At 39.8% G+C, this 26,889-nt stretch overlaps 1 protein-coding gene across 6 annotated transcripts in view; it reads left to right on the forward strand.

Moving 5' to 3' along the window:
* ZRANB1 (zinc finger RANBP2-type containing 1) overlaps positions 1-26,889 on the forward strand; it is a 71,296-nt gene that overhangs the window by 14,839 nt on the left and 29,568 nt on the right. For 3 of the 6 annotated variants that reach the window (XM_047425383.1, XM_047425384.1, XM_047425385.1), the window contains exon 2: positions 10,725-11,575. In XM_047425383.1, the coding sequence (XP_047281339.1) occupies positions 10,762-11,575 (814 nt within the window). In that variant the 5' untranslated portion in view covers positions 10,725-10,761. Of the gene's footprint in view, positions 1-1,663; positions 8,816-10,390; positions 11,576-26,889 lie in introns of those variants that run through there. The other 3 variants (XM_006717907.3, XR_007061968.1, NM_017580.3) reach the window with 3 other exon arrangements.

Here is a 26,889-nt window from a genome sequence, read left to right on the forward strand (position 1 = left end):
AGAGTTCCCATACACCTGCTGCCCCCATGTTTCCCCCACTGTCTACATCCTTCCACAGAGTGGTATATTTGTTAACAATTAATGAACCAACATTGACACATAATCACCCAAAGTACATAATTTACAGTAGGATTCACTCTGTAGATTCTATGGGCTTTGACAAATTTATAATGAAAAGTATCTATCATAATAGCACACAGTGATTTCACTGCTCTAAAACTCCTCTGTGCTCTTCCTATTCATCCCTTCCCTCTAACTCTTGCAATCCCCTGATCTTTTTACTGTCTTCATGTTTTGCCTTTTCTAGAATGTCATATAGTTGGAATCATACATTATGTAACTGTTTCAGGTTGTCTGTCACTTAGTAGTATGCATTTAAGGTTCATCCATGTCTTTCTGTAGCTTTATAGCCCATTTGTTTTTAGAGCTGTATAATATTCCATTGTCTGGATGTACCACAGTTTATCCATTCACCCACTGAAGGACATCTTGGTTCTTTCCAACTTTTTGCAATTAGAAAAAAATTCCCACACTATACGGGTGTAAAGATTTTTTTTTTTTTTTTTTTTTTTTTTGAGATGGAGTCTCACTCTGTTGCCCAGGCTGGAGTGTAGTGGTGCGTTCTTGGCTCACTGCAACCTCTGCCTCCTGGGTTCAAGTGATTCTTGTGCTTCAGCCTCCCAAGTAGCTGGAACTACAGGTACCCGCCACCGCACCTGGCTAGTTTTTTATAATTTTAGTAGAGATGGGGTTTTACCATGTTGGCCAGGCTGGTCTTGAACTCCTGACCTCAAGTAATCCACCCACCTCGGCCTCCCAGAGTGCTGGGATTACAGGTATGATTTTGAATTCCCACCAGCAATGAATGAGAGTTCCTGTTGCTCCACATTCTTGATAGCATTTGTTAGTGTCAGTGTTTTGGATTTTAGCCATTCTAGTAAGTATGTGGTGGTATCTAATTGTTTTAATTTGTAATTACCTAATGATGTATGGTGTATTTTTGTATTTTTAGTAGAGACAGGGTTTCACCATGTTGGCCAGGCTGGTCTTGAACTCCTGACCTCAGGTGATCAGCCCACCTTGGCCTCCCAAAGTGCTGGGATTATAGGCGCGAGCCACCCCCCTGCATTTGAAAAGATGTTCAACATCTTTTCATATGCTTATTTACCACCTATATATATTCTTCGGTGAGGTGTCTGTTCAGATCTTTTGCCCATTTTTCAGTTAAGTGGTTTTCTTACTGAGTTTTAAGAGTTCTTCGTGTATTTTGGATAATAGTCACTTATCTTTTGCAAATTTTTTTTCTGGTTTTTGGTATTCTTATTCTCTTGACAGTGTCTTTCACAGAGCAGAAGTTTTAAATAATCAGTGAAGTCCAGCTTAATCAGTTTACTTTCTTTTCTTTCTTTTTTTTTTTTTTTGAGATGGAATTTTGCTCTTGTTGCCCAGGCTGGAGAGCAATGGCGCGATCTCGGCTCACTGCAACGTCCACCTCCCAGGTTCAAGCGATTCTCCTGCCTCAGCCTCCTGAGTAGCTGGGGTTACAGGTGCGCGCCACCATGCCCAGCTAATTTTTTCGTATTTTTAATAGAGACAGGGTTTCACCATGTTGGTCAGGCTGGTCTCAAACTCCTGACCTCGTGATCCACCTGCCTCAGCCTCCCAAAGTGCTGGGTTTACAGGCGTGAGCCACTGTGCCTGGCTGACAGAAATTAAATTCTGAATGAAGTAGCATGTTCATAGTTCTTGCAAAAGTTGTTTTATTATTATTTAAATGCTGGATTGCTGTGTATTTTTGGAGTTAATTGTTCCATTTCCATACATGTTTAAGAAAACTGTGGTCTTTCATCCAGTTAGATTGCAGGTTCTCTGAGCACAGGGACAGTGTTTTGTCTAGTTATATCTCTCCATATTTCTGAGTGCATGGTAAACCTTTGGTAAATGTTGTCATAGGTTGTTACATTAGTTTTGTTTGGGATTGTGATTTAAGGTACGTGATTGACCTGGGATGTCTCAAACTGTGTAAAGGAACTATGCTCTAAGATAGGTTCTGCTGAAGCTCAAGACATACCTGTATTACACCCGCTCACTTTCTTGTTACGATTGAGGAACTGAAGTGTTCAGATAGAGTAAGTATGTAAAGAGCTAGAAATCCTCCTGAGATGACAAGATGAACAGAAAGAGCATTAATATTGTTTCATGCTAGATTTGACACAATGTAAGTTAACTTTTTGTCTTTAAGATCTTCTTTCATTCTAGTCAGTGGATTGCTAATTGTCTAGTGGTTTAAAAGAAAACAAGACCATTAGAGTTGTAACTTTTATTACAGTTTTTTCTAATGTATCCTTGACAGATTAAAATGTAACATTTAAATTCGTTACATTTTGAAGATTTAGGTTTGGTTGGAATGAAGTTAGTTGTAGTTGTAGAGGGTAATCACCTCAGTTAATTAAGGCATAGTGCTGATAAGGCCAAGGTCACCCTGGCAGGTGTTATTTAATTTTACCTTGTCCAACTTATCCACAAATTCCTGGGAAGAGTACAGTGTGTTTAGTTCAGATCTACTCATTTGATACAGATGCCATAGATAATAGTGACCTCTTTTTATAGGAATGCCAGCTCATTTTTGAGATCTAATTATTGATTATTTACATACAATTTCACACTAATTTAGGACTTTTAGAAGATACTTAATGATTGCAAAAGTTTTGTACTTGTGTCATTGTCATAGCAAGATTTGAATAGTTAACCAGCTTATGGGTTGCCACAGTGCTCTGGATGGTAGACTTTCAGAGCAGTGACGAAAGGAACAAACATTTATTGAACAATTTTGCGGCTTTTAGTAGTCTAATCCCTTTAATTTGTAGATGGGAAAACTGAGGCTCAGAAATAGGAAATTCTGATTACGAATTGAGTTTTGGACATGTTAAGTGTGAGAAACTTGTTAAACCTTCAAATTGAGATGTCAGGTGGGCAACTGGTTTTACAAATCTTGAGTTAGGGGAGAGATCCAACTTGGAGATACAAATTTTTAAATTATCATGAAGTAGATGATATTTAAAGCCCAGGGATTGTCTAAGATCCCCAAAGTAGTTAGAGGTTAGAGAGAAGAGGACCAAAGCTTGGGGCACTTGGCTCTTTAATTCAGAAAGATAAGGAAGCCAACAAAGAAGTTTGAGGAAGAAAAGCTACTGAGATTGGAGGAAAACCAGGAGAATGTCTTGGAAGCCATGTGAGAACAGTATGTTTAATTGTGGATTATAGAACCAGAGAGCTTCAGACTAAGCCATTTAACAAATAATTTAGTGATTGTTGTATTTTGCCTAAGAGTTCTTTTTATTTCAAATGCCGAAGTTGCAGAGGCAAAAGTGTTTAATAATTTCGTGGATTCAATTACATGTTACAAATTTTTTAATGGGGCTAGAATGTGAAGGTGCTGAAGTCATGGCTTGCTGTGTAATATTCTAGCTATTTGTTGATGTAGTTGTATACTTAAGTATGGACCTAACTGGTGTGTTATGAAATGAGAGAAAAACATGTAATAGGTTTTGCTCAGTTTATAATCTGGTCAAGGATATAGGAAGACATAACAAGTGTATCAAACATGAATCTTAGTCCAAAAACTCAGATAGAAAGAAGGTACCACATTTGCTTTCTTTAAATTAACTTGATTTGACTTCTACTTCTTTGGCAAGAAATTCAACCTCAGTCATCCTTGGGGTCCCCTCTCCTCATGTTATTGGAAGGCCTGGTGTCATATGGTTCAGATTTTGCCTGCATTGGTTATGATACTGTCTTCCATTGCCTTCCACAAGGTTCCATCAGGTTCTGTGGCTCTGCCACCAACTGTGGGCCCTAGTGCCTGTGGCTTGACACCTAGTTTATATCTAGCAGACACTTTTTACTGAGGTCTTGCTGCCTGTTCAGTTGCTGCCATGGAGTTGATTCCATCCTCTCTAGAATTTCTTCTGAGATTGCTCACAAGGTCTACTCCTTTCTTTCATCAAGTCATTCAACATGGCCTCTTCTTGGGTTTTACTAAACACAAGGTGCTGGTCTACCTTCCGTGCCACTGGAATCTCTGAACAAAGGTTTTTGAAAGCCTGGCTGTTTGACTGGAAATCGAAGGGAGGGATGGAAATAGAAGGATGTGAGTGACATAGGAAAAACATATATGAATTAGCGTTCCAAAAACTAGCCCCAAGAGGAAATATAAAGTGCCAAATGTCAATAAAAGTATGGTTGCTTGGAGTGTACTTGGAGTGAGTTGAAAACTTCATGAAGATGAGACTTGAACTGAGCCTTAAAGGATGGGTAGAGTTCATTATAAATGAGGGTGTCTATTGTGCTTCTGTATCTAAGGCAGTACCTTCATGTGTATGTTGGGTGGTGGTGACACATGCATGAGTCGGGCGTGTGTGGCATGTTTGGGAGTGAGTGGTGTGTGTGTTTGTGACAGGAAGGAGTTGAGAGTTTATACTGTTGCAGAAGAGCCTCAGAAAGAGAATTGTGGAACAGTCAGCTGGATGGATTTAGAAAGGGAAGATGCTTAGAAGGCTTTTATGGTAGTTCTGACCTGAACTGGAAAAGGATTGATGGCAGTGGGAATGAGAAGACAGTAATTAGATAGAAACCACTAGAAAGAATCTGTGGGGAGAAGGCAGAATTTAAGGTGATTCTGAGTTCTCTGCTGGGTGCAGAGGTATTAATAGTGTCATTAATGGAAACTGGAGAAGTCAAGATAGGAGTTTGTTGTGAGAAGAAAATAAGGGGTTTAATGGAGGATTTGATAACCTGGTGAAGCCCTGAAATGAGGTTAGATTTGTAGATAAAGGGTTTTACCATATCATCGATCTTCACGATCCTGGTCTAGACCGGTTGTTTTTCCTGTTGACTATTGCGAAGAAGACAGTGATGAAAGAATATACTGATGAGAAAAGAGATGAGTATGTGCGATACTTTGGCTTAAGAGTTAAGTAGTTTGAAGTTTTTTATTTACAGAAATTTTATAGTTCAAAATTGCTTTGTAATATTTTAAGAGCCTGAAAATTTAGCATGCTTGGAAAATCCGTTTTAGTTTTAGCTTTCGTCTTTATATCCCTAAGATGTTCTCTGAGCATTTGTAAATCTCCGCAGATTTATATTAATAAGCTAATAATTATTTATATTAGTAAGTATAAATTTGTATTAATAAAGCTAATAAAAATCTTTAAGGCTGCTTTTTGTTGTTGTTGTTGTTTGAGACAGAGTCTCGCCGGGCCGCCCGGGCTGGAGTGCAGTGGCGCAATCTCTGCTCACTACAACCTACACCTCCCAGGTTCAAGCAATTCTCCTGCCTCAGCCTCCTGAGTAGCTGAGTAGTATAACTTCTCATCATTTGAAACTACTGGCAATTGAGCTTATCTCAGTTTGTTTCCTGAGTTTGCACTTGAAGAGAATTATTTGTGTGTATTTTTTTTTTTTTTTTTTTTGAGATGGAGTTTCGCTCTTGTTGCCCAGACTGGAGTGCAGTGCTGCAGTCTCGGCTCGCTGCAACCTCCACCTCCTGGGTTCAAGTGATTATCTTGCCTCAGCCTCCCGAGTAGCTGGGATTATAGGCACCTGCCACCACGCCCAGCAAGTTTTGTGTTTTTGGTAGAGACGGGGTTTCGCCATGTTGACCAGGCTGGTCTTGAACTCCTGACCTCAAGTGATCCACCCGCCTCGGCCTCCCAAAGTGCTGGGATTATAGGCATCAGCCATTGCGCCCCACCGAGAATTATTTCATTTCTTCAGTTCTCTATGATTGTTTAGTAGGTGGTTGGGGAAATTTGTAGTGTAGCTACAATTTTGAGGAATTGACTTCAATATAAATATAATTCTTGTACAGTGTTTAGTAATGCTTCACAAATATTAAACATGACAGTATAAAAAATGTTCCATTATGTAAGTCCCTTTCCCCCGCCTGCTATTAGTACATATACCATATTTCTGCACTTTTATTATCTGAATTGGAAAGTATATAATTAAAAACAGTTACGAATTTAGTACTTGTCAATTTAGTAGTAGTAAATGGTTGATATATTTAGAGACATTATTCATTCTACAGGCAGAGCTTGATGCACAAATGGATTCCTGGTCTCCTTGGTCCACAGGATGGGAACTGTTGGTATTGCATTTGAACCAAGGAATATTTGTCTTAAGAGTAGCAGTTTTGTCCCGTTCTCCTTAAAGAAGGCCTAGATTATGTTGATTTTATTGTGGTTTTATTTTACCAATTAATTGAAGTTTGAGTCCTTGGATAGAATTTGCAAATCTGCTTTGCATGCAAAATTAAACTTGTAAACTAAATTTACTTGGGCGTATGAATATATTTAATACTTAAAGTGATATTTGGTAAGTTTTATTTCAAGGTAGAGTATTAACTTTTAGAGCTGGCTACTTTGGAAATAATTTTATGTACTTTTTGGAATGTTTTGACATCTGGAAAAAGTGTACTCTGTTAATTTCTTTGTAATACTGCAAAAAAACACATAGTTCAGTTGATGTTATCCTTACTGTTCAGTGCTGTTTACTAATTACCACAGGTAGAAATGGCTGTCTCAGATAATCTTCAATGAATTTTTTCTTTTCTTTTTTTTTTTTGAGACAAAGTCTCACTCTGAGTGCAATGGTGTGATCATGGCTCACTGCAGCCTCAAGTCCCCTGGGCTGAAGCGATCCTCCTGCCTCAGCCTCCTGAGTAGCTGGGACTACAGGCATGTGCCACCACCCTGGGCTAATTTTTGTATTTTTTGAAGAGATGTGGTTTTGCCATGTTGCCCAGGCTGGTCTCGAACTCTTGGATTCAAGCAATCCACCTACCTAGGCCTCCTGTGCTGGGATTACAGGCGTGAGCACCTAGCCACTCTTCAATGAATTTTACCTTGCAGTTACTAAACAACATTCCTGCAATGTTTCAAGTTCTCTCAGAGTGAACACTGTACATCATTACGTTTTTTTTTTTTTTTCCTTGAGACAGCCTTGCTCTGTCATCCCAGGCTGAAGCACAGTAGCACAATCATAACTCACTGTAGTCTTGAACTCCTGTACTCAAATGATACTCCTTCCTTGGCCTCCTGAGTAGCTGGGACTATAGGCACAGGCGACTGCACCTGGCTAATTAAAAAAAAGTTTTTTTTTTGGTCGGGCATAGTGGCTCGCGCCTGTAATGCCAGCTCTTTGGGACGCTGAGGCAGGTGGATCACTTGAGGCCAGGAGTTTGAGACCAGCCTGGCCAACACAGTGAAACTCCGTCTCTACTAAAAATAAAAAAATTGGCTGGGCATGGTGGGATGCGCCTGTGGTCCCAGCTACTCTGGAGGCTGAGGCAGGAGATTCACTTGAACCTGGGAGTGAAGGCTGCAGTGAGCCAAGATTGTGCCACTGCACTCCAGCTTGGGTGACAAAGTGAGACTGTCTCAACAACAACAAAAATCGTGTTTTTTTTTTTTTTTCCTTTTTTGTAGTGATGGAGTCTTGCTGTGTTGCCCAGGTTGGTCTTGAATCCTGGACTCAAGTGATCCTCCCACCTCATTCTCCCAAAGTGCTGGGATTAAAGACTTGAGCCACTGTGCTTATTATCTAATATAAGGCACATCTCAAAACTCTTGAGCTTGGTTTTGGTATTGCTTAGTTACCTGGATTTTCAGAGGTTGGTGGGCTAATTAGGCAGCTGTCTGTCCATTATTTTACCAGGCATTTATGACAGTGATTATTTTTTATGACAGTTTTTTGTTTGTTTTTTAAATCAGCCTGGACATTTAAATATATTGTGCCAGCATATTAGTTACATGAAGATTAGCTAAGATAACATAAGGTTACGGGCTGTTTAGTTGCACCTACAAACATAGTAAGACTTATCAAAACAAGTATGGATTTTGAATGTGAATATTTTAAAAGATATATTGAAATTACTTAGAGTAGCCCTGGATATATGTTCATTATGGCATTTATCTTGTTAATAAGTTTCTACATGCTCATTTTAATTTCCAGTAGCATGAGCAAGTAACTTATATTTCATTCCCGAGAAACTAAAAGAATCTGCCTAAAGAGTATGAAAATTGCCATTAAATCTGTATTGTCTACTTTCTGGATGGTTATATCATTATAGTTCTCTGCTCTTCCACACATTTTTGGGCTGCTATCAGTTTGTAAGTAATCATTATACAAACTAAATTTAAAAATTTAAACAAGATAATTTTATATTACTTGGATCAGGGAAAAAAATGCAGTTGCTGAAGGTGGTTTCATAGCTAAATATAAGCAATTATTTTGCTTTTTCTACTTTTTTGGATTTTATCATCTTTTCCCTTTTAGTAATAGAGTAATACAGGTAGGAATTAACTTAGCACTGCCAAATTAATAGTAATATTAGAACTGTGTACACAGCACAGGGTTAAGGTTATATAGAAAAATGTCTCATCCATGTTTAATTTGGCTGACCAGCCCAGTTGATTAGCCAATTTTATTGTTTTGTTAAATTAAAATTCTAAATATAGTTGTCCATTGTTAAAATAAGTGAGTAGGGTTAAAATAGAGAATTGATAAAAATAAAGCCTTAAAAATCTTTTAGCTAAAGTAGCAGGCTTCAAGTGAAATTCAGTTTTGGTCTCCTTTACAGGAATAGCTATTCAGTCAGACAGAACCACTTATCACGTTTTGCAGTATCTCCTGAGGAAGTCAGAATTCTGAGCCAGCATGAAGACGGAATCTTGTCTTTGATCTGATTTGCAAACCGTACTTTTATTCTAATCATGTGCAAGGTGGAGGTTATAGCGTGGGAACTAAAATCTTAGTAAGTGTGGTTTTTATTTTAGCTATTAAGTAGTATACTTTCTTATAGTGATTTTTTTTTCTTCTTAGCAGAGTTCACACTATAAATGGTGTATGGACTTGGCAGGCAGGAACATAATACAGTATACTTCAAAAGTGAAAGATTTAGGCCAGGCGTGGTGGTTCATGCCTGTAATCCTAGCACTTTGGGAGGTCGAGGTGGGTGGATCACGAGGTCAGGAGTTCATCAAGAGAAGCCCGGCCAAGATGCTGAAACCCTATCTCTACTAAAAATACAAAAATTAGCCGGGCATGGTGGCATGCACCTGTAATCTCGGCTACTTGGGAGGCTGAGGCAGGAGAATCGCTTGAACCTGGGAGGTGGAGGTTGCAGTGAGCTTAGATTGCACCACTCCACTGCATTCCAGCCTGGGCAAAACATAGCAAGACTCCATCTCAAAAAAACAAAAATGAAAACAACAACAACAAAAAAACAAACAAACAAAAGATTTAACCCTCTAGGTTCAGGAAAAATCCCTGAGAAAGAGAGAGCAAAGCTTCTATACTCTGCCTAGGATTTCTTTCTCTTTCCGGGTGAAAAATAGGTGTTGGGATGATACTGAGTTGATAAAAGTATTTAGGAAAAGTGGCCAGTGTCTAAATTCAAGCCATTAAAAAAAAAAAAATTAAATTTGTTATGTAAGTTGCTTCATTTATGAATTAGTTGCCATTAAATTATGAAGTCTTTCTTCATTATAGTGTAGTGTTAGCCCATTGTTGAATCCTAGAAATCTTTTAAGTAGTGTGAATATCTTTTAAATATGAATTGGATTTTTTGGGGGGCAGGGGATGGAGTCTCACTCTGTCACCCAGGCTAGAGTGCAGTGGTGCGATCTTAGCTCACTGCAACCTCTGCCTGCCGGGTTCAAGCAGTTCTCTGCCTCAGCCTCCTGAGTAGCTGGGATTACAGGCACCTACCACCATGCACGGCTAATTTTTGTATTTTTATAGAGACGGGGCTTTACCATCTTGGCCAGGCTGGTCTTGAACTCCTGACCTTGTGATCTACCCGCCTCAGCCTCCCAAAATGCTGGGATTATAGGCTTGAGCTACTGCCCCCGGCCATGAATTAGATTTTGAGTATATTTTAAATATTCAAAATTTAAAATATTTTAATTATGAACATTCACAATTATATTGGAATGATTATGCTACTGGTTATTTCAGTGACCTTCCACAGATTTAATTTTCCCCAGTACAGTCTTCTTTTTTTTACTCCAGATAGAACTAGATTTTGAGGCTACAGATTATCAAGGAACTACCTATTTCATAATGTTACTTTGTTAATTGTAGCCATTACTTCTCAACATGTTTCTTTACTACCTGTGCTAATTAAGAACAGTGGATAATTAGCATTTTAAGTTGCTTTTCTCCCTTAGCGAGAATGATAAAATAGACGTTGCTTGATCTTCTGAATTCATGAATCATAATCTGTGTTCATAATTTGAGAATGGTTATGTGTTTAAGCTATTTTTTAGTTTGTGTTGTTTCCTCTACCTTTGTCTCTTTAAACTATTGGTTACTTTTCTAAATTGATGTGATGGCCTCCCTGAAATTAAACATTTCTATTAGTGGCTTCCCGTTAATCTCATCCTTCTTAGATCAAACCTCGTTATATCTCCTGCCTATCTCTTTTGCATTCCAAAGTTCAGTTTTATTAAATCCCAGGGTCTAAGATTTTTTCTTTGAGAATTTATCTCCAGTGTTTCTATGGAAATTAAAAAAGAAAATTAGGATAATTCAATGTCGAAATGTTGCATGCATCTTTTGAGAAATTTATATTTTGTAGGTTGAAGGACTTGCTTTTTGGGCAGCGTATTTTTGGAGGTGGAATGTAGTTATTTTAATAACCATGTCCTAATTATTTATAGCTTCCTGCCTGACACAGCTCACTTCAAGAAGTGCACAATGTCAGAACGTGGAATTAAGTGGGCTTGTGAATATTGTACGTATGAAAACTGGCCATCTGCAATCAAGTGTACTATGTGTCGTGCCCAAAGACCTAGTGGAACAATTATTACAGAAGATCCATTTAAAAGTGGTTCAAGTGATGTTGGTAGAGATTGGGATCCTTCCAGCACCGAAGGAGGAAGTAGTCCTTTGATATGTCCAGACTCTAGTGCAAGACCAAGGGTGAAATCTTCGTATAGCATGGAAAATGCAAATAAGTGGTCATGCCACATGTGTACATATTTGAACTGGCCAAGAGCAATCAGATGTACCCAGTGCTTATCCCAACGTAGGACCAGGAGTCCTACAGAATCTCCTCAGTCCTCAGGATCTGGCTCAAGACCAGTTGCTTTTTCTGTTGATCCTTGTGAGGAATACAATGATAGAAATAAACTGAACACTAGGACACAGCACTGGACTTGCTCTGTTTGCACATATGAAAACTGGGCCAAGGCTAAAAGATGTGTTGTTTGTGATCATCCCAGACCTAATAACATTGAAGCAATAGAATTGGCAGAGACTGAAGAGGCTTCTTCAATAATAAATGAGCAAGACAGAGCTCGATGGAGGGGAAGTTGCAGTAGTGGTAATAGCCAAAGGAGATCACCTCCTGCTACGAAGCGGGACTCTGAAGTGAAAATGGATTTTCAGAGGATTGAATTGGCTGGTGCTGTGGGAAGCAAGGAGGAACTTGAAGTAGACTTTAAAAAACTAAAGCAAATTAAAAACAGGATGAAAAAGACTGATTGGCTCTTCCTCAATGCTTGTGTGGGTAAGTTTCTGTATTCTGCATTTTTTGCGTGGGATGGGAAAAGGTAGTAAAAATGATATGAAAAGAGCTGGGTGCGCTGACACACGTTTGTGGTCTTAGCCACTTGCTTGAAACCAGGAGTTTGAGGCTGTAGTATGCCATGATCGGTCTGTGAATAGCACTTGCACTCCAGCTTGGGTAACATAGTGAGACTGTGTCTCCACGCACATGCAAAAATGTGAGTGTGTGTGTGTGTGTGTATATATATATGCGCAAAGTCACTAGCATTTGATTCATTCAGCACGATAGCTGTACTTTCAAGTATGCATACATAAAAATTTGTGTATTTGTGATCTTGTCGTAACTTTGTACTAAATTGCCCACAATTAATTGTGTTCATGTCTCTCCATTACTGGGGGCAGTGGAAACGTTTAAGTTAAAGCAAAGTTTTTACACATCAGCAGTAAAATATATACCTGGACTTTAAAACTGCTACTCTGTTTATTGTAACAAGATGTAACTGAGGAACACCAGCTGCTGTTTCCAAGTATTTGTAAACAGTGTGAGCATCTTGTGATGATAGAAGCTTTAGTCAGATGTTAAAAATACCACAAAAATGTGTGACTCCAAGAAGTTGAACAAACATATTGACCTTGAAAATACTGGTGTTAATTTAACATGAATGTCATGTAGTAAATGTTTGCAAACTTTATGGAACTGATTACATGTAGCCAGCTGATTCCATACTTCAAGTTATGGTTCATATGTATTGTGACATTTTCCTCAGGAAATGCTGTTAAAGGACAGAGACATAGGAGAGCAGAGTTTTTCTTCAGTTCTTGACCTTGTGAGTTAATTGTGATGTAATTCACAAAAGCAGTGACTTGAGTCTTCAGTATTTTTTTTTTGAGTAGATTAGATGTTTGATTTTTATTAAATTATTTGGATGGGCTGCTTGCTTTGACATTTGGTCTTATGAGGGAAATTTTGAATGATTACTAAGTTTAAACTTTGTGTGGAACAATAGCTAAGCTTTAACTATACCTTAGCTGTATGTTTTCCCTCAGTACCAATTTCTTTTATTTATCCCTCTGGGTACAGCCCAAGAATATGGAAAGTTTAGGTGTATGAACCTGTGAGTCCTAGGAATTGATTTCCAAGAAATCGTGAGTTTTAAAATTAAATTATATATATCATTCCCCCCCCCCCCCCGCCCCAAGATGGGATCTCACTCTGTCACCCAGGCTAGAGGGCAGTGATGCAATCATGGCTCACTGCAGCCTCAACCTCCTGGGTTCAAGTGACCTGCCATCTCAGCCTCCCCAGTAGCTGGGACTCCCCATTAGCATGTACCACTATGCCCTGCTATTGTTTTAAATTATTATTTGTAAAGATGGGGGTCTACCTATGTTGCCCAGGATGGTCTTGAACTCCTGGGCTCAAGCGATTCTCCCACCTCAGCCTCCTAAAGTGTTGGGATTATAGGCATAATTTGCTGTGCCCAGCTGAAATCCTGAGTTTTCAATTTTAGCTTTGTTCTGGCAAAAAAGAATATCCCAGCAGATGAATCCTTCTGACCTCCAGACTTAGTAGGCACTTAGCAAGTCTTAGTTCTAGTTTCCTCCCATCCTGAGGATGAGGGGATGAAAACATACCGGGCTATCTTCTGTCTGTGTTGTCCCATTTTATTCCTCTGATTTTTCTGCTCCAAATTGAGGGGCAACATACAGTATGATTGTCAGTTAAAAAAATTTAAACAGGAGATACAAAAGGGTTTTGTTATTAGTTTCCTTAGAGATCAAATTGATTTAACATAAAAATTCACCGTTTTGCAAGTGAACAACTCATTTGGCATTTAGTGCATTCACATTGTGTAACCACTACCTCTGTGTTGTTCCAGAACATTTTCATCATCCCAAAAGGAAACTATGTACCCATTAAGCAGTTACTGCCCCCTACCCCTACCCGCTAACCCTTGATAACTGCCAGTCTGCTTTTGGTGTCTGTGGATTTACCTATTCTGGATATTCATATAAATGGAATCTTTACATATCTGTGAGCTTTTATGTTGGGTGTGATTGTCTTTTAATTGCTTGTATGCCTTTGGAACAGTCTTAAAATCATTTTTTTTTTTTTTTTTTTTTTTTTCAGGGAGTAGTGTACTATGAATACTTGGACTACAAGGTGGTGTTATAGTACATGTAGGTTTATAGATGAAAATGAACTAGACTTCATTGTGACGGTTCTTAACCTCACAGTGAAGGTCACTAAACCTCACTAAAGGTCATAGAATCCTTTAGGAATCAGGGCTTCATTTCAACCCCCGGTTGCTTCAAGTCAGTGGATCTCAGGATAAGAACACCTGATTTGAAATATTTTCTTTCCTTGAAACACACAAGTTAGATGAATCAACATGTTTGTCTTTATGACATTATTTCTTCTTGGTCCTGCCTTTTTCTACATATCCTTACTACTTTTGACTAGACGACTAGCCATCCTTGTACCTCTTTGCATTTTATTTATTTTTTTGAGACAGGGTCGCGAGGCTGGAGTGCAGTGCTGCAATCATGGCTCACTGCAGCCTTGACTTCCTAAGCTCAAGCCATCCGCCCACCTCAGCCTCCTGGGTAGCTGGGACTACAGGCGCATACCACCACGCCTGGCAAATTTTTGTATTTTTTTTGGAGAGACGGGGTTTTACCTTGTTACCCAGGCTGGCATCTTATTCCTGTGCTCAAGTGATCCACCCACCTCAGCCTCCCAGAGTGCCAGGATTACAGGGGTAAGCCACTGGGTCCGGCCCATCTCTTTGCATTTTAATCACTGAGTTCAATTTAAAAGTGGAACAAGGCCAGGCACAGTGGCTCAGGTCTGTTAATCCCAGCACTTTGGGAGATTGAGTTGGGCGGGTCACCTGAGGTCGGGAGTTCGAGACCAGCCTGACCAACATGAAGAAACCCCGTCTCTACTAAAAATACAAAATTAGCCGGGCATGGTGGCACATGCCTGTAGTCCCAGCTACCTGGGAGGCTGAGGCAGGAGAATCGCTTGAACCTGGGAGGTGGAGGTTGCAGTGAGCCAAGACTGCACCATTGCACTGCAGCCTGGGCAACAAGAGCAAAACCCTGTCTCAAAAAAAAAAAAAAAAAGAAAAGAAAAGTGGAACAAAAACTTCTACCAATAGGACCAGTATTGGATTTGACGTTGTTTTATTTATAAAATGATTTGTCATTAAGTTGCTGTTTCTACCTGCAAAGTTTCTAGATTCTTAGGGGCAAGGGTTGATTGTATTTGGTTCTTGGTAATGTGGACTATGTCTTTCCTATTGGCAAATAATTTTTACTATTAACTCTACAATGTCATTCTGAACTGTTATACGTAAGGTTATAATTATAGGCCTGTTTCTATGGGATAGCCATATTCTGATGTGTAAACATAACTGAAATATGTTAAATACTTTTTTTAAACTTGTTTACATTGTGTTGGGTTAATTTAAAAAAAGGCTTGAGCAGTAAGACTAACAGAAGTTCACATGTACTCAAAATTAATCTTTACGTCCCTTTTCTGCCTGCCTTATGTTCCCCAGATTTCATTAGATACAGTGTATTTTGGGTTATTGATGTTAAGTGTTTTTTAAAAAATACATCTCTAAAGTAGTATATACACTGAGTATAAAATGTGAGACTTTTCCATTTAAAGTTGGAAAAAAATTGCAACCTCAGGTCAGCTTTGTAGCTGATAAACTAGGAATGAGGAAGATTCAGTTGTTGAGAGGGCAGATGTCAACTAACACATCAGCAGTATCGAGCAAACATATTGACATAGCTGTTGGGTGTTAAGTTTCACATAAGTCATATTATCTTATGTGGTGAGAGGATGTTGGGGACAGCTGTGCCAAAACCTGATATCAGTAGTAGAGCCTGAGGTTGAGAACCAGGGTGGTAAAGGTAGAGGTGTGAATGTAAATGTACAGTTGTCTCTGGAATGTCTGCAGTTGGTACTAGATGTTTTTAGGTACATCAGGTTTTTAGGGCGGTCATGTGAGCACTCACCATAGACTGCTTTTCTCACTGGGTAGACAATAATGTATCTAGAGAATAGAGCAGCACTACCTAATGCCCTGCTTTTGTTCTGCTATTGTATTGAATCAGTTGCCTTATGAAATTGCACTTCAATTTGTGTACATAGATACGTCCTTAAAAAGACACAGGGTTAGATAAGAACACCATATTAAATCTGTGCTGTAATGTGTATTCCTGAATCCTAGACTCATATATCCAGCTGCCTATTCAGCATCTTTCCTGGAGTGTTTAAAAACTCAAGCTCATTTCAAGCTCAGTAATGCTAAAACAGAACTGATCTCTCCTTCAAATCTATTTTTTCCCAGGCTCTCATCTTGGTTGATGGCAAATTTCTCATTCCATTGCTTGTGCCAAAAGCCTTGGCCCTCCTTGATTCTTCTTTCTCTTATGCCCCACTTCTATTTCTGAGAAGATTCTTTGGCTCTACCTTCAAAATATATCTGTACTCTGACCACTTCTCACTATTCTTGTCCAAACCATGATCTACCCTTGCCTTTGCCCTCCGTACAATCTGCTGTCATCAGAGGAGCTAATTCTTCTCAGAACCCTCTAGTGATCACCTGTTTTACTTGGATTAAAAGCCAGAGTCCCTCAAAAACTCTACAAGGCCATCTACATGCTCTGTATTGCACACTTCAGCTTCCCTCCATATACTTTTGACCCTTGAATAACACAGGTCTGAACTGTGCGCGTCCACTTATACGTGAGTTTTCTACCAGCTCTGCCACCCCTGAGACAGCAAGAATAATGCCTCTTCTTCCTCCTCCCCCTCCTCAGCCTACTCAAGGTGAAGATGATGATGATGAAGACCTTTATGATGAGCCACTTTGACTTAATGAGTTGGTAAATGTATTTTCTCTTCCTTATGATTTTCTTAATAACATTTTCTTTTCTCTAATGTATTACAAGAATACAGTGTATAATACATATACAAATATGTGTTCGACTGTTTATGCTATTAGTAAGGCTTCCGGTCAACAGTAGGCTATCAGTATTTTGGGGGGAGTTAAAAGTTATACATGGATTTTCTACTGTGTGGGAGATTGGTCCCCCTAATCTCCATGTTGTTCAAGGGCCAAATATAGTTTATCTCTGAACTAATCTGTTTTCCACCTTTTCCATTTCATTCCAGCCACTCTTGCCACCTTTTTTTTTTTTCCTATAAATAAGCCTCAAGCCTTTTACTTGCTGTTTGCTCTGCCTGGATTGCTCTCCACCTTCGCTTCTTTTCTCATGTATTGCCTTCTCAATGAGGTCCTCCATGACTGCCGTATCTAAAATTTCATCCCTGTCCATTATCCCTCCCCACAGCATTAATTTTCTTCATAACACTTCTAATATGCTTCATCATCTTGTTTATTATTTGTCTCTCTCTACTCTAGAATTTAAGCTTCCTGAGGGCCAGTAATTTTATGTTTTGTTCAAAGCTGTATCTTAGTATGTACAACAGTGCCTGCTACATACATACTAGGCACTCAGGTATTTTTATATCAATGAACGAATGAATATTTTTGGGAACTAGGGTCTGGGCAAACCTTTATCCTACTCCTCCTATGAATTTCTAGATTCTTTGCCTGCTTCCTAGCTCTCTATGTTTTTCAATAGTTGGGGCTCAACCCAGGAGAGCCAGTTTTACTTCTCACTGGTTGTCAGGAAGACTGAGGTAAGTAGTGGGTATGAAAGGGTCTTACAGGAAAGGGTATAGAGGCTTCAGTTTATCACCAGGCAGTCTATGGACATGAAAAGTCTAAAGTCAGGTTTATGTTTAATTTCTCTACCTCCCTACTTTCACTCATGGCAATATTTGTTTTTTCAAAAAAATCATTCTATGTGTTTGCTATAACTATCAAATGAGATTTTTACTTGAAATATTTTATTCAGTTGTCATTGGACCTGCTGCTTCCTAGTTGGCGTTTATCTTACTTCCTAAACAATAGCTGCATCTTTCTTAAGTTTAGGAGCTGAGATTTGGTTGGGGCTGTTGAAGGTATAGGGGGAAAAAAATCAAACTTAAGTAACAAGTTCACATTGAAACTATGTATACACATATATATGTATATATATATGTTTACACACATATGTATATATATATGTTTACACACACATATATGTATATATATTCACGTATACACACACACACACACACACACACACATTTTTTTTTTTTTTTTGAGACAGGATCTTGCTCTGTTGCCCATGCTGGAGTGCAGTGGTGCGATCACAGCTCACTGCAGCCTTGACCTCCTGGGCTTAAGCAGTCCTCCCACCTCAGCTTCCCTAGTAGCTGGGCGTACAGGTGTATACCACCATGCCCCGCCAATTTTAAAAATGATTTGTAGAGATGGGGTCTCTCTGTGTTGCCCAGGCTGGTTTCAGACTCCTGGACTCAAGTACTGGGACTGCAGTTGTGAGCCACCACCTGGCCTGAAACTGGAATTTTTATGCTGAAATACTCAGTTGCCCAATAGCAGTGGTATGAACAGCTTTCACTATAGGGAATATGTGAATCAGTAATGCCTCCCGGTGCTCTGAAGTTTTGGGGTGACGTGAAGTGCACATGCAGTGGTGTTCCCTGTTGAAAATCAATGACTTACGGACTGAACCAGAATCTCTTCTTTATCAAGTAGCAGGATGAAGTGGCATCATGAGGATTATAATTCTGATGGTTTCTGAGCAAAATTTGTCCCACTTTCAGAATTTTGACATGTCTGTAAAGACTTAGATGATTTTTATTGTTTTATTTTTTAATTAATTAACTAATTAACTTTTTTGAGGCAAGGTGGTCTCACTGTCTCCCAGGCTAGAGTGCAGTGGTGTGTGATCTTGGCTCACTTCAATCTCTGCCTCCTGGGCTCAAGCAATTCTCCTACCTCAGCCACCCAGGTAGATGGGACTACAGACGTGCACCACCACGCCTGGCTAATTTTGCATTTTTTGTAGAGATGAGGTTTCCCCTTGTTGCCCAGGCTGGTCTCAAACTCCTGGGTTCAAGCAGCCCGCCCGCCTCGGTCTCCCAAAGTGCTGGGATTACAGGTGTGAGCCACTGTGCCTGGTCTTACATGATTTTTAAAACATAGAACATGTATTGGTAACGTTTTCTTATATTAGTTGTCTGCAAAAATATTGTTATATTTAATCTATTATTTTCCCTTTTCTCATAACTTAATTGTGTTGAGAATCAATGTTTGAGGCAAATCCATTTGGATTCTAATTGTATTTGGGCCTCTTGCCAGAAATCCGTATAACGTGTCATATGGTGTCTGTCCACTCTAGAGTGCCAAGTGTAACTCTAGAAATATCTAAATATTTCCACAGTTTCTGGATGGGTCTGGATATGGTGGCTCAGTCCTGTAATCCCAGCACTGTGGGAGGTTGAGAAGAGGGGAGGATCGTTTCAGCCTAGGACTCTAAAACCAACCTGGGCAACTTGGCGAGACCTCGTCTCTATAAAAAATAAAAAAAATTAGCAGGACATGGTGGTGTTCCCATGTGGTCCCCACCTATGCAGGAGGCTGGGATGGGAGGAACACTTGCGCCCAGGCTGCAGCGGGCCATGATTGTGTCACTGCATTGCAGCCTGGGTGACAGAGCAAGACCATGTCTTAAAACTTGCATGGTATTAAATATGTCAGAAGGTATTTGTCCATTTGGTTTTACTTACACACCTTGTTTAAAAAAAAAAATAGCAAAGTGTAGGCGTATTACATTTTAAAATATTCTTTTCAATTTGTTTTGGTATTGATATTAAGAATTACGTATATAGATGGACATTTACAATTTGTCAGAGGTTTTTCTCAAGTAAATTATTAAATTAGTATTACTTTTTTCTCTGGAGAAACAAAACCGTTGCAAAATGTAATCTTCTATAATGATTTTTTTAAAAAAAGTTTCTACTGTTGAAATATGTGCCTGGTGTAATGAAAGGGAGGTTGTACAATAATCCAAACAAAATTAAATTAACTTCTGTGAAGGAAAAGTCATTTAGTTTTTGAGAGATTATATTCCTTTGAACTGGAATGATTTTAAAGTGATTTATATTACCAAGAAAATTACCATGTCAAAACGGAAAAGGAAATCCTTGCATTGGACACTGGTGATTTTGCCCATTTAAGACATCTTTGGGGTGACTTTTTAACTTGAGAGAAAACTCAGGGCATACAAACGATTGTGAAGAAAAAAATAGAAGAGGCTTCTATTCTCTAGTTCATTACTCCTTAGCTTTAAAAATTATTTCTTTCACAAGGATATTTTATTGATGACTTACCTGAAGGCACAAAACATTTGGTGTTTTTAAAAACACACCATCTGCTGGTCGCGGTGGCTCATGCCTGTAATCCCAGCACTTTGGGAGAGCGGGGCGGTCGGATCACTTGAGGTCAGGAGTTCAAGACCAGCCTGGCCAACATGGTGAAACCTCGTCTCTACTGAAAATACAAAAATTAGCTGGGTGTGGTGGCGGGCATCTGTAATCCCAGCTACTTGGGAGGCTGAGGCAGAAGAATCTCTTGGACCTGGGAGGCGGAGGTTGCAGTGAGCTGAGATCATGCCACCGCACTCCAGCCCGGGCAACAAAGTGAAACTCTGTCTCAAAATAAATAAATAAATAAAAACAAAAAAATAAAAACAGTATTGATGAAATAAGTTATAATGTCCAAATTTACATTTTTAACTTGCCCATTGACTTCCTTATAGGTTCATCTCCCTCTACCCCCTCTTTGGGCTTTTTGGGTGATTTGCATGACCAATATAAATAGAGTGGCAGGCAAGATAATGTCCACACCCCACCTCCCCATGCGTGCGTCCCAGTCCCCAGGATTTGTGAGTATGCCACCTTACGTGGCAAAAGAGATTTTACAGAAGTGATTAAAGGTTGCTTAAATGGCAGGGTTATCTGGGTGGGTGGTGTAATCACAAGCGTCCTTGTAAATCACAGCGGGAGACAGGAGAGTGAAGATTATAGATGGGACCATGAGAAGAGAAGCGGAGGCTTGAGAGAGTTGCAGGGCCCTGAGGCAAGGAATGCCAGCAGCCTCTAGGAGAAAAGGCAAGGCTTTTCTAGAGCCTCATGAAGGAGCACAGCCTTCCCAACACCTTGATTTTAGCTCAGTGAGAGCCTTGCTGAACTTCTGACCTCCTGAATTCTAAGACAGAAAGTTTGTGTTGTTTTAAGTCACTAAGGTTGTAATCATTGTTTGAGCAGCAATAAGAAATTAATACAAATAGCTTTTTTAAAAACAAATAATATCTTTTTTTTTTTGGAGATGGAGTTTTCGCTCTTGTTGCCTAGGCTGGAGTGTAATGGCGTGGTCTTGGCTCACTGCATCCTCTGCCTCCTGAGTTCAAGTGATTCTCCTGCCTCAACCTCTCAAGTAGCTGGAATTATAGGCGCCCGCCAACATTCCCAGCTAATTTTTGTATTTTTAGTAGAGACGGGTTTCACCATGTTGGCCAGGCTAGTCTCGAACTCCTAACCTCAGGTGATCTGTCCACCTTGGCTTCCCAAAGTGCTGGGATTACAGGCGTGAGCCACCACGCCCAGCCCTAAACAAATAGTATTTTTTTAAATTTTATTTTGAGATGGAGTCTTGCTCTGTCACCCAGCCTGGAGTGCAGTGGCGTGATCTCGGCTGACTGCAACCTCTGCCTCCCAGGTTCAAGTAATTCTCCTGCCTCAGCCTCCCAAGTAGCTGGGATTACAGGTGCACACCACTGTGCCTGGCTAATTTTTTTTTTTTTTTTTTTAAGTAGAGACAGGGTTTCACCATATTGGCCAGGCTGGTCTCAAATTCCTGACCTTGCCTCCTGCCTTGGCCTCCCAAAGTGCTGGGATTACAGGCGTGAGCCACTGTGTCCAGCCAACAAATAATACCTTAATTTGACAATTTCAGAAAAATTTTACTTAATTTTCACCAGTTCCTAGAGGAGGTCAGAGCCATTGTTAATAATGAAAGAAGTTGAGGTACAGAGGGACTGACTAGTATGGGAAGTAGCTGTCCTTTCCAAGACACAAATGGTAACGGGTTTCTTTCTGCTGGATATGTTTGGGGGTTATTACTGGAGCTTTTGAATTATGTTTGATGCCTGGGAATATTAATGTTTTCAGCCCTGCCTTTTTTCAGGTCAGCGAAATAAATATGCCTGTATGAAGCTGATTGCTGTGGCCCAGGGTAATCTGCTACTTGCTAATATTTTACAGCATTCCATGGTTAGGTTACATTATTTGGACTTGACGTTTTGTGTGCGGTGTTTCTGTAGTGTGTGTTCTGTTTGCTCTGCTCATGTTGGCCTGTTTTTGGCTTGGTATACCAAAGGTGTTTGGACAGTCCTTCAGTGTTTAGAACTTTTCCTGTTCTGTGGATTGCTTTGCAGTCATCATTACTTCTGTGTTGATAGCTCAGTTGCAGATCTGTGTTCTAATATGTCATTTTTTGAGATCAACATCTGTGAGTTTAGAGAGGAAACTCGTGAAGTTGTTCACAGTTATGGCTACTTTTTAAGTGCTGGGTTATGAACTCTGATTGTATGCTGATGCCAAACTAGTGTTCTACTGAAAGATACTCTTCTGATTTAGTGTCCTTTTTTTTTTTCTTTTCTCTTTCTTTTCTTTTTTTTCTGGAGACAGGATTTTGCTCTGTTGCCCAGGCTGGAGTGCAGTGGCGTTGATCACAGCTCACTGCAGCCTCGAATGCCCAGGCTCAAGTGATTCTCCCACTTTCAGCCTCCTGAGTAGCTGGTTCCAGAATAGTGCACCACCATCCCCAGCTAATTCCTGTTTTTTTTTTTTTTTTTTTTTTTTTTGTAGAGGCGGGGTTTCACCATGTTGCCCAGGCTGGTCTCAAACTCATGGGGTCAAGTGATCAGCCCGATTCAGCCTCCCAAAGCTCTGGGATTACAGGCGTGAGCCACGGTGCCTGGCCCCTTTTTTCTTAATACATTGTTTTACGTATGAATGGAGGCAGAACCAGTAAACAGGTCTTGCATCATATTAATAGTTTTGAACATTTAAAACCATCTAATTGCCCTTTTATTAAAGACAACAACACAAAAATGGTTTGAGTTAAAAATGGTACATTAAAAGTTTTTTTTTTTTTTTTTTGGAAACAGGGTCTTGCTCTGTTGTCCAGGCTGGAGTGTAGTGGTGTAACCTCAGCTCACTGCAACCTCTACCTTCTGGGTTCACACAATCCTCCTGCCTCAGCTTCCCTAGTAGCTGGGATTACAGGTGTGTGCCACCATGCCCGTCTAATTTTTGTATTTTTAGTAGAGATGGGGTTTCACCATGTTGGCCAGGCTGGTCTCGAACTCCTGACCTCAGGTAATCAGCCCACCTTGGCCTCCCAGAGTGCTGGGATTACAGGCGTGAGTCACAGTACCTGGCCCCTTTTTACTTAATACATTGTTTTACATATGAATGGAGGCAGAACCAGTAAACAGGTCTTGCATCTTATTAATAGTTTTGAACTTTAAAACCGTCTAATTGGCCGGGCACGGTTTCTCACGCCTGTAATCCCAGCACTTTGGGAGGCCGAGGTGGGCAGATCACGAGGTCAGGAGATCGAGACCATCCTGGCTAACATGGTGAAACCCCATCTCTACTAAAAATACAAAAAATTAGCCGGGCGTGGTGGCAGGCGCCCGTAGTCCCAGCTACTCTGGAGGCCGAGGCAGGAGAATGGCGTGAACCCGGGAGGTGGAGCTTGCAGTGAGCCGAGATTGCGCCACTGCACTCCAGCCTGGGCCACGGAGACTCTGTCTCAAAAAAACAAACAAAAACGAACAACCAAAACCCACCTAATTGTCCTTTTATTAAAGACAAAACAAAAATGGTTCGAGTTAAAAATGTTACATTAAAAGGTTTTTTTTTGTTTTTTTTTTGTTTGTTTTTGAAACAGGGTCTTACTGTGTTGCGCAGGCTAGAGTGCAGTGGTATAATCTCGGCTCACTGCAACCTCCACCTCCTGGGTTCAAGTGATCCTCCTGCCTCAGCTTCCCTAGTAGCTGTGATTACAGGCATGAGCTACCATGCCTGGACACATTAAAAGCTTTTAATAGGATCCAAAATGTACACAGACTTCTGTAGCGTCTTTTGGCCTGCATCCGTAAAAGGAAAGTGAGTGCTAGAGTACTGGCAATGCTTTGTAGTCCTTGGCTAACTTTGCGTGATACTCTTAAGTGTGATGCGTGTGTAGCTATGAAGACTGTGATCATTTCACTCCACAAACGTTTGTGATTGTGGGTTTACTTCCTGTCCAAGGTAGTTCATATAGGTAATAGAGTTATTTTTAGCAACATGAAATAAGTATTATCTTCAGGTAGTTTTTGTTTTTCAAGTTTTTAAGGATTTCCTGTTTTGATCTTGGAACACTGGATATAAAATAACATTTTATGTCATGATTTTTAAGTGAATTGTGAGAATTTCCAGCAACATAAAATATTCTCATCTGTAGGGAACACACATGCCTGTGTGCACACTCACACTTTTCACCTCTTCCCTTTCTACTATTAAATGATGCTGGCCCGTTTGGTCCGGGATTTGAAAGTACTTCCTGACACCTGTGATAAAAAGAAAGCTTCCAGGAATGAATGTTTCTATTAAGGCAAATGGGCGGTGATGGCAGAAATAAAGCGCCAGTATTCTTCTTGGTTGCCTTTAGTATGTCTGAGACGTAGTTCTCGGCTTTCAGAAATGATTGATTACACAGGGTTGCCAACTAGTAATGTGCCTTTTTATGCTGAGAAAGGGACTATGTCGCGTGATTCTTGATTATGTGATAACTGACATTTGAATATGCAGCATTGATTCAGTAACGGCTTTCATTTAAAAAAGAAAGTACTATATTAAACGAACACATTGAAATATGAAATCCAGATGTATCCTTTAAATATCAAGTATAAAAGGATGTGTTTTGACTCTAGAGAATTGTTGGGATCTAAACTAACTTTAAAAAGTTGCGTTAAACTAGGCACACGGTTTAAAAAAACCCAGGCAGCACAGAAATGCAAATATAAAGAAATGCAATAGTTTCTTCTTCTCTCTACCTCCAGTCCTGCTGTGCATAGACAACCACTATTTTCCCTGTCATTCTTTTATTTTACTTTTATTTATTTTTATTTTTTTGAGACGGAGTCTTGCTCTGTCGCCCAGGCTGGAGTGCAGTGGTGCTATCTGGGCTCACTGCAATCTCTGCCTCCCAGGCTCCAGCGATTCTTGTGCCTCAGCCTCCCAAGTAGCTGGGACTATAGGCAAGCTCGCCACCACGCCCAGCTCATATTTGTGTTTTTTAGTAATGGCGGGGTTTCACCATGTTGGCTAGGCTGGTCTCGAACTCCTGACCTCAAGTGATCCACCTGCCTTGGCATCCCAAAGTGCTTGGATTACAGGCATGAACCACCATGCCTGGCCCCTGTCATTATTTTATAATGAGAAATTTCAAAACCTGTATAAAGGTTACAAGTGTAATATATTGAACACCACATGCCTTTGACCTAGATTTTCCAGTTCTTTGCTGTATTTGGTGTCTCTGTATGTCTTTCTCGTGTGTATTCTCTGAACTGTTTGAGAGTTAGCTGAAGACATCATGACACTTTACCCCTAAATATTTCAGCATGTGTTTCCTAAGAACAAGGACATTTTTTCCTACACAACCACACAGTATAATTATCCAAGAAATTTAATACTGAAAGTCTATATTTAGTTTCACCAATAGTTTCAGTAATTGCTGTTGCCCCACCTTGTTCAGTTAAGGATTATACATTGTGTGTAGTTTTGTCTCTTCAGTCTTCTCTAATCTAGAACAGCACCTGTTTTTTTTTTTTTATTTCATGATTGACATTTTTGAAGATTCCACTTTTGCAGAATGATCTTCAATTTAGATTTGTGGATTTCCTTATGATTAGATTCAGTTTAAACATTTATCTTTTTTAGAGGAGGGAGGAATACTATATAGGTGATATTATTTGAGGCAGCACCTCCGATACCTCTGAATAATGTCCTTGTATCATTGTTCCTTTTTTTTGCAATTTATTTTGAGGTAAAATATACGTAAGATAAAATTTATACCATTTTACTCATTAAGTGTATATTATTAGCATTGGGTACATTCTTATTGTTGTGTAACCATTTCTACCATTCTCTCTAGAGCTTTTTTACATCTTGGAAAACTGAAACTCTGTATCCATTAAATAGCTCCATTCCCCCTTCCTCCAGCCCCTGACAACTGTCATTCTACTTCCTGTCAATCAATTTGACTGTCGTAATAACCTCATGAATGGAATCATACAGTATCTGTCCTTTTGCTTATTTCACTTAGTATAATGTCTTTAAGGTTCATCTGTGTTGTGATCTGGGTCAGAATTTCCTTCCTTTTTTTTTTTTCGAGAGGAAGTTTCGCTCTGTTGCCCAGGCTGGAGTGCTGTGGTGCAATCTGCGCTTGCTGCACCCTCTGCCTCCCAGGTTCAAGGGATTCTCCTGCTTCAGCCTCCCAAGTAGCTGGGACTATAGGCGTGTGTGCCACCATGTGTGTCTAATTTTTGTATTTTTAATAGAGTCGGGGGTTTCACCATGTTGGCCAGGCTGGTCTCGAACTCCTGGCCTCAAGTGATCCACCTGCCTCGGCCTCCCAAAGTGTTGGGATTACAGGCGTGAGCCACTGCGCCTAGCCAGAATTTCCTTCCTTTTTGAGACTGAATAATATTTCATTGTATGTGTATACCACATTTTGTTTATCCTTTCCTCAGTTGATGAAAATATATTATTTCTTTTTCACCAAATTTAGACATTTGTACTGACTTCTTGTAACGATCTTTGATAGTTTAGTTCATTTTTGAATAATAAAGGCAGACAACTTGCGACTAGCATGTGCAACGTAGCGGGACCTCTTCTCTATTAAAAATAAAAAACTTAGCTGGGTGTGGTGGCAGGGTGCCTGTAGTCCCAGGTATGTGAGGCTGAGGTGGGAGGATTGCTTGAGGCAAGAGTTTGATGCTGCAGGGAGCTATGATCAGTCATTGCATTCTAGTCTAAGCGACAGAGCAAGGCTCCATCTCAAAGAAAAGCAGACTATATGCATTGTAGACTATTTCAGAGATAAGAAAAGCTATGAAAAAATAAAAATAGTTTGTAATCTCACTGCCTAGAGGAAGTCTGTCAGATTTTTTGTGTATTTTCAGTCTTTTTTTTTGCATTTATTTACTTTTACATAGTTGAGATTATATTGTATATCCTTTTTCATTGAACTTTATATTTTGAATCAA

This window comes from Homo sapiens, chromosome 10, assembly GCF_000001405.40.
Source record: "Homo sapiens chromosome 10, GRCh38.p14 Primary Assembly".
Classification (NCBI taxonomy): Eukaryota; Metazoa; Chordata; class Mammalia; order Primates; family Hominidae; genus Homo; species Homo sapiens.